At 46.6% G+C, this 6260-nt stretch overlaps 1 pseudogene, besides 2 other annotated features; it reads left to right on the top strand.

The window, feature by feature from the left end:
- Positions 820–1760: an enhancer, noted in NCBI's record as "H3K27ac-H3K4me1 hESC enhancer chr1:31585445-31586385 (GRCh37/hg19 assembly coordinates)". NCBI's record gives its function as "activates a minimal SCP1, AML or CMV promoter by ChIP-STARR-seq in naive H9 embryonic stem cells {active_cell/tissue: H9 hESC(naive)}" and the evidence as "EXISTENCE:reporter gene assay evidence [ECO:0000049][PMID:30033119]".
- Positions 2703–3644: an enhancer, noted in NCBI's record as "NANOG-H3K27ac-H3K4me1 hESC enhancer chr1:31583561-31584502 (GRCh37/hg19 assembly coordinates)". NCBI's record gives its function as "activates a minimal SCP1, AML or CMV promoter by ChIP-STARR-seq in primed H9 embryonic stem cells {active_cell/tissue: H9 hESC(primed)}" and the evidence as "EXISTENCE:reporter gene assay evidence [ECO:0000049][PMID:30033119]".
- Positions 5695–6257, top strand: RPL21P22 (ribosomal protein L21 pseudogene 22; annotated as a pseudogene).

Below are 6260 nucleotides of genomic sequence, written 5' to 3'. Positions count from 1 at the left end.
TAGCCTCACATTTCCCTAAAAATACTAACTAGGATCTCTTAAATTATCTGTGCTACCTCTGAAATCCTTTTTTATACTTGTTTATATTGGTCTTCTTTCACATAGCAAGCTTTCCTCAAATGCCTGTAAAGTCTTGTTTGGTGTTTGTTTGGGGTTTTGTTTTGTTTTGAGACAGGGTCTCATTTTGTCACCCAGGCTGGAGTACAGTGGTATGAACAGCCTCCACCTCCTAGACTTAAGCAGTCCTCCCACCTCAGCTTCCTGAATAGCTGGGACTACAGGCGTGTGCCATCACACCTGGCTAATTTTTGTGTTTTTTTATAGAGACAGAGTCTCACTATGTTGCCCAGGCTGGTCTTTTATTATTATTATTATTATTAGAGATGGAGTCTCGCTCTGTCACCCAGGCTGGAGTGCAGTGGTGCGATCTTGGCTCACTACAACCTCCGCCTCCTGGGTTCAAGCGATTCTTCTGCCTCAGCCTCTCAAGTAGCGGGGACTACAGGCATGTGCCACCACACCCAGCTAATTTGTGTATTTTTAATAGAGACGGGGTTTTGCCATGTTGGCCATGCTAGTCTCGAACTCCTGAACTGAAGTGATCCACCTGCCTCGGCCTCCCAAAGTGCTGGGATTACAGGTGTGAGCCACTGTGTGTGGCCCCAGGCTGGTCTTGAGCTCCTGAGGTCAAGCATTCTGTCTGTCTCAGCCTGCCGAAGTGCTGGGATTATAGGCATGAGCCACAGCACCCGGCCTGATGTATTTTTTTTTTTATTATTTTTTTTTGGGGCGGAGTCTCGCTCTGCCGCCCAGGCTGGAGTGCAGTGGCGCGATCTCGGCTCACTGCAAGCTCTGCCTCCCGGGTTCACGCCATTCTCCTGCCTCAGCCTCCCGGGTAGCTGAGACTACAGGCACCCACCACCACACCCGGCTAATTTTTTGTATTTTTTAGTAGAGACGGGGTTTCACTGTGTTAGCCAGGATGGTCTCGATCTCCTGACCTCGTGATCCGCCCGCCTCGGCCTCCCAAAGTGCTGGGATTACAGGCGTGAACCACCGTGTCCGGCCAACTTTTGTATTTTTAGTAGAGACAGGGTTTCACTATGTTGGCCAGGCTAGTCTCGAACTCTCGACCTCAGATGATCCGCCTGCTTCGGCCTCTCAAAGTGCTGGGATTACAGGCATGAGCCACCGGGACTGGCTGCATTCACTCTTTCTTAAAAATGTACATCAGGCAGGCCGGGCGCGGTGGTTGACTCCTGTAATCCTGGGAGGCAGAGGTTGCAGTGAGCCGAGATCACGCTACTGCGCTCTGGCCTGGGTGAAAGAGCGAGACTCCGTCTCAAAAAAAAAAAAAAAAAAAAAGAAAGAAAGAAAGAAAAAAAGAGTGAATGCAAAGGCTCTCCAGGATTTCGCGTGTACTTGATTTCTGACTGAAGGCTTCATTTCTGGAGGAATGGGAGGGGCCATGACGGTGAAAGGGTACCTCTAAAGGAGGAATTTATTTGGGACGGTAGCTCCCGCTTCAACTGTCTTCATTATCTTCAGAGAGTGTTTAGTTTCTCTCCCCCACCCCACTGCCTGACAAGGTCAATTTCTTTAGAAAAGAACCCTCCCGTTCTAGTCTGCTGTGCTGTGTGGTGGAGGGTTGTTTGAGTGGAGCATTCAATTAACACTTAGATTTACAGCCCATTTATTACTTCAACTCTTTATCTCAATTCTCATTTCCCAGTCAGAAACTTCTCTAGAATTTTACCATTAAAGGAGACTCTCTTTTCCAACGTCCTTCCCACCCCCCCATTTTCTAATTTGTCGCTTTCTCCAATATGGTTCATTATTAACTTTTACCCATTCAGTTTCCGTCACCGGGACATTTGTTAAAACCTCTAGTTCAGCTGGGCGTGGTGGCTCATGCCTATTATCCCCGCACTTTGGGAGGCCAAGGAGGGGTGGATCACCTGACGTCAGGAGTTTGAGACCAGCCTGACCAGCATGGCGAAACCTCGTCTCTACTAAAAATACACACAAATTAGCCGGGCGTGGTGGTGCAGGCCCTGTAATCCCAGCAACTTGTGAGGCTGAGGCAGGAGAATCGCTTGAACCCGGGAGGGCGAGGTTGCAGTGAGCCAAGATTGTGCCATTACACTCCAACCTGGACGACGAGCGACGAGAGCCAAACTCCGTTTCAAAAAAAAAAAAAAAAAAACACCTCTAGTTCACTGGTGAATGAATTGCCTCCTCTGCTTCTTTTAGGTGTAGGTATCTCATTTTTATATTTATTTATTTATTTATTTGAGACAGGGTCCCAAACTGTCACCCAGCTGAAATGCAATGGCACAATCTTGGGTCACTGGAACCTCTCCCTCCCAGGTTCAAGCGTTCCTCCCACCTCAGCCTCCTGAGGAGCTGGGACCACAGGAATAGACAACCACACTCGGCTCATTTTTGTAATTTTTTTTTTTTGTAAAGATGGGGTTTTGCCATGTTGCCCAGGCTGGTCTTAAACTCCTGGGCTCAAGTCTGGTCTCGAACTCCTGGCCTCAAGCGACCTGCCTGCCTTGACCTCCTAAGGTGCTGGGATTACAGGTGTGAGCCACCGTGCCCAGCCACAGTTGTTACTTCTGATTTACTCTCTTAGGTGTCTAATCAAAATCTGATTTATGGGTCACTTTTCCTACTACTGCTTCTGATGACAATTCTACTGTGTATTTACTATGAGCCATTGTGCTCATATTTATTTCATTGCCACAGCAACACTGGGAAGTAGGTATTATTTCCATTTTATAGGTGAGTGCGTCTGCCTAGCCAGAGTCATCCTTTTGAAACACAGCTCTTAAAACCCCAAGTCCTTTCACAGCTTTCTTTCTTTTCTCTTTTCTCTTTTGTTTGAGGCAGAGTCTTACTCTGCCGCCCAGGCTGGAATGCAGTTGCGCAATCTTGGCTGGAGTGCAGTTGTGCAATCTTGGCTCATGGCAACCTCCGCCTCCTGGGTTCAAGTGATTCTCCTTGTCTCAGCCTCCTGAGTAACTGGGACTACAGGCACACACCACCATGCTCAGCTAATTTTTGTATTTTTAGTAAAGACGGGGTTTTGCCATGTGGCCAGGCTGGTCTCAAACTCCTGACCTCAAGTGATCCGCCCGCCTTGGTCTTGCAAAGGGCTGGGATTACAGGCATGAGCCACTGTGCCCGACCCTTTCATAGCTTTCTGTTGCCCTCAGAATAAAAATCAAAGTAAAAATTCCTTAACTTGGTTTACAAGAGACTCATCGCCTGGCCTCTACAGCTCTGAACTCACCTCACACACTGTGGGCTCCAGCAACACTGACGTTTTCTCAGTTCCTTTCAACACAGTAATCCTGTTCTTGCCACCGGTTTTCTTCACCTGAACACTCTCCTGTTCCTACCACCAGCTCCCATTCACCCTTCAGACCTCAGCCTCCGCATCACTCTCCTCTCCCCTCATATTTCTGTCCCCACCCTGAACTAGGTTAAGGCACTCATAGAATGAGTTATCACAGCACTTATCCCATTTCACTGTTATTGCTGGTGAAACAAACACGGTAATTACATATTTCTTCCATCTTTTCCCTTTACCCCGGGTAGTAGAGTCTTCTGAGGTCAGACGAGATTGGGTGCGTTCTGGGTGGTATGGCCGCAGACGGTAATAGAGTCTTTAATGACATGTAGATCAGATTCCATAACTTCTCAGTCTCTTTCAGCTATTAAAGATGTGTCCAGTTTGACATATTACAACAGACTACTGGAAGGATCAGTAAACTATGGCCTATGGGCCAAATCTGCTCACTCTAATTTTATATATAAGGTTTTATTGAAACAGTCACACCTCACTCATTCTATATTGTCTATGGCTGCTTCCGCACTACATCATTAGAATTGAGTAACTGCTGGCTGGGAGCGGGGGCTCATGCCTGTAAGCCCAGCACTTTGGGAGGCCGAGGCAGGCAGATCACCTGAGGTCAGGAGTTCAAGACCAGCCTGGCCAACATGGTGAAACCCCATATCTACTAAAAATACAAAAATTAGCTGGATGTGGTGGTGGGCACCTGTAATCCCAGCTATTCGGGAGGCTGAGGCAGGAGAATCACTTGAACCTGGGAGGCAGAGGTTGCAGCAAGCCAAGAGGTTGCAGAGTGCCACTGTACTCCAGCCTGGGGGACAGAGTGAGACTCCATTTCAAAAATAAATAAAGAAACTTATGCAGCTAGCCTGGGTGCAGTGACTCATGCCTATAATTCCAGCACTTTGGGAGGCTGATGCAGGCAGATCGCTTTAGTCCAGGAGTTCAAGACCAACCTGGGTGACATGGCAAAACCCCATCTCTACACAAAACACAAAAATTAGCTGGGTGTGGTGGTGCATGCCTGTGGTCCCAGCTACTCAGGAGGCTTAAGTGGGAGGATCCCTTGAGCCTGGGAGGTGGAGACTGCAGTGACCCATGATTGCACCACTGCACTCCAGCCTGGGTGACAGAGTGAGACCCAGTCCAAAAAAACAAACAAACAAACAAACAAAAAAAACAGATGCAGCAACTTTGGAAAACAGTTGAGCATTTCCTCAAAATGTTAAACATAGAGTTACCACGTGACCCAGTAGTTCCACTCCTAAGAATATGCTGAAGAGAATTAAAGACATACGTCCATACAAAAACTTGTGCACAAATGTTTTTAAATGTAGTGTTCATGATAATATCTAAAAGACTGGAAAAAAGGCCAGGCATGGTGGCTCACGCCTGTAATCCCAGCACTTTGGGAGGCCAAGGCGGGTGGATCACCTGAGGGTAGGAGTTTGAGACCAGTCTGGCCAACACGGAGAAACCCCATCTCTACTAAAAATACAAAATTAGCTGGGTGTGGTGGCGCATGCCTGTAGTAATCCCAGCCACTCAGGAGGCTGAGGCAGGAGAATCACTTGAACCCGGGAGGCAGAGCTTGTGGTGAGCCGAGATCGAGCCATTGCTCTCCAGCCTGGGCAACAAGAGCGAAACTCCATCCCAAAAAAAAAAAAAATTATGCTGAACTTGATTGTGGTGATGGTTGCACAACTCCAAGTATACCAAAAAACAATGAACTGTACACTTCAGATATGTGAATTATATGAATGTGAGTTATAGCTCAATAAATCTGTGAAAGAAAGAACAAATAGAAGGAAGAAATAGAAGGAAGGAGGGAAGAGAAGGAGGAAGGGAAGGAAAGGAAAGAAAGAAAGGAAAGCAAAGCAAAGCAAAGGAAAGGAAGAGTGTTCAGTTTAAAAGTCCAATTTCTTTTTCTTTTTTTTTCCCCAAGAAGGAGTCTTGCTCTGTCACCCAGGCTGGAGTTGAGTGGCGCAATCTCCGCTCACTGCAACTTCTGTCTCCTGGGTTCAAGCAATTCTCCTGCCTCAGCCTCCTGAGTAGCTGGGATTACAGGCACCCGCCACCACGCATTTTTGTATTTTTAGTAGAGACGGGTTTCACCATAGTGGTCAGGCTTGTCTCGAACTCCTGACCTCAGGTAATCTGCCCGCCTCAGCCTCCCAAAATGCTGGGATTATGAATGTAAAGCGCTGTAGAATAATTTTGCTCATGGAAAATGCTCAAAGTTGAAACAGGCTTAGTAGAAATGAGAAGAAAAATATGTACAGATGAAAAATATACAGATGAAAATAGAGATTGGTGAGAAATGAAAATAGAGTCTTTTGGCCAGAACTGCCGTCTTCCAGTAATTTGCCAAAATGATGAACACAAAGGGAAAGAGGAGAGGCATCCGATATATGTTCTCTAGGCCTTTGAGAAAACATGGAGTTGTTCCTTTGGCCCCATATATGCAAACCTATAAGAAAGGTGATATTGTAGACATCAAGGGAATGGGCACTGTTCAAAAAGGAATGCCCCACAGTGTTACCATGTCTAAACTGGAAGAGTCTACAATGTTCCTCAGCGTCCTGTTGGCATTGTTGTAAACAAACAAGTTAAGGGCAAGATTCTTGCCGGAGAATTGATGTGCGTATTGAGCATATTAAGCATTCTAAGAGTCAGGATAGCTTCCTGAAGTGCATGAAGGAAAATGATCAGAAAAAGAAAGAAGCCAAAGAGAAAGGTACCTGGGTTCGACTGAAGCGCCAGCCTGTTCCACCCAGAGAAACGCACTTTGTGAGAACCAGTGGGAAGGAGCCTGAGCTGCTGGAACCTATTCCCCATGAATTCATGGCATAATAGGTGTTAAAAAGAAAAAGAAAAAAAAAAAGACCTCTGGGCTGTT

The sequence above is a fragment of the Homo sapiens genome, chromosome 1 (assembly GCF_000001405.40).
Source record: "Homo sapiens chromosome 1, GRCh38.p14 Primary Assembly".
Lineage (NCBI taxonomy): Eukaryota > Metazoa > Chordata > Mammalia > Primates > Hominidae > Homo > Homo sapiens.
This window is presented reverse-complemented; position numbering and strand designations above follow the sequence as displayed.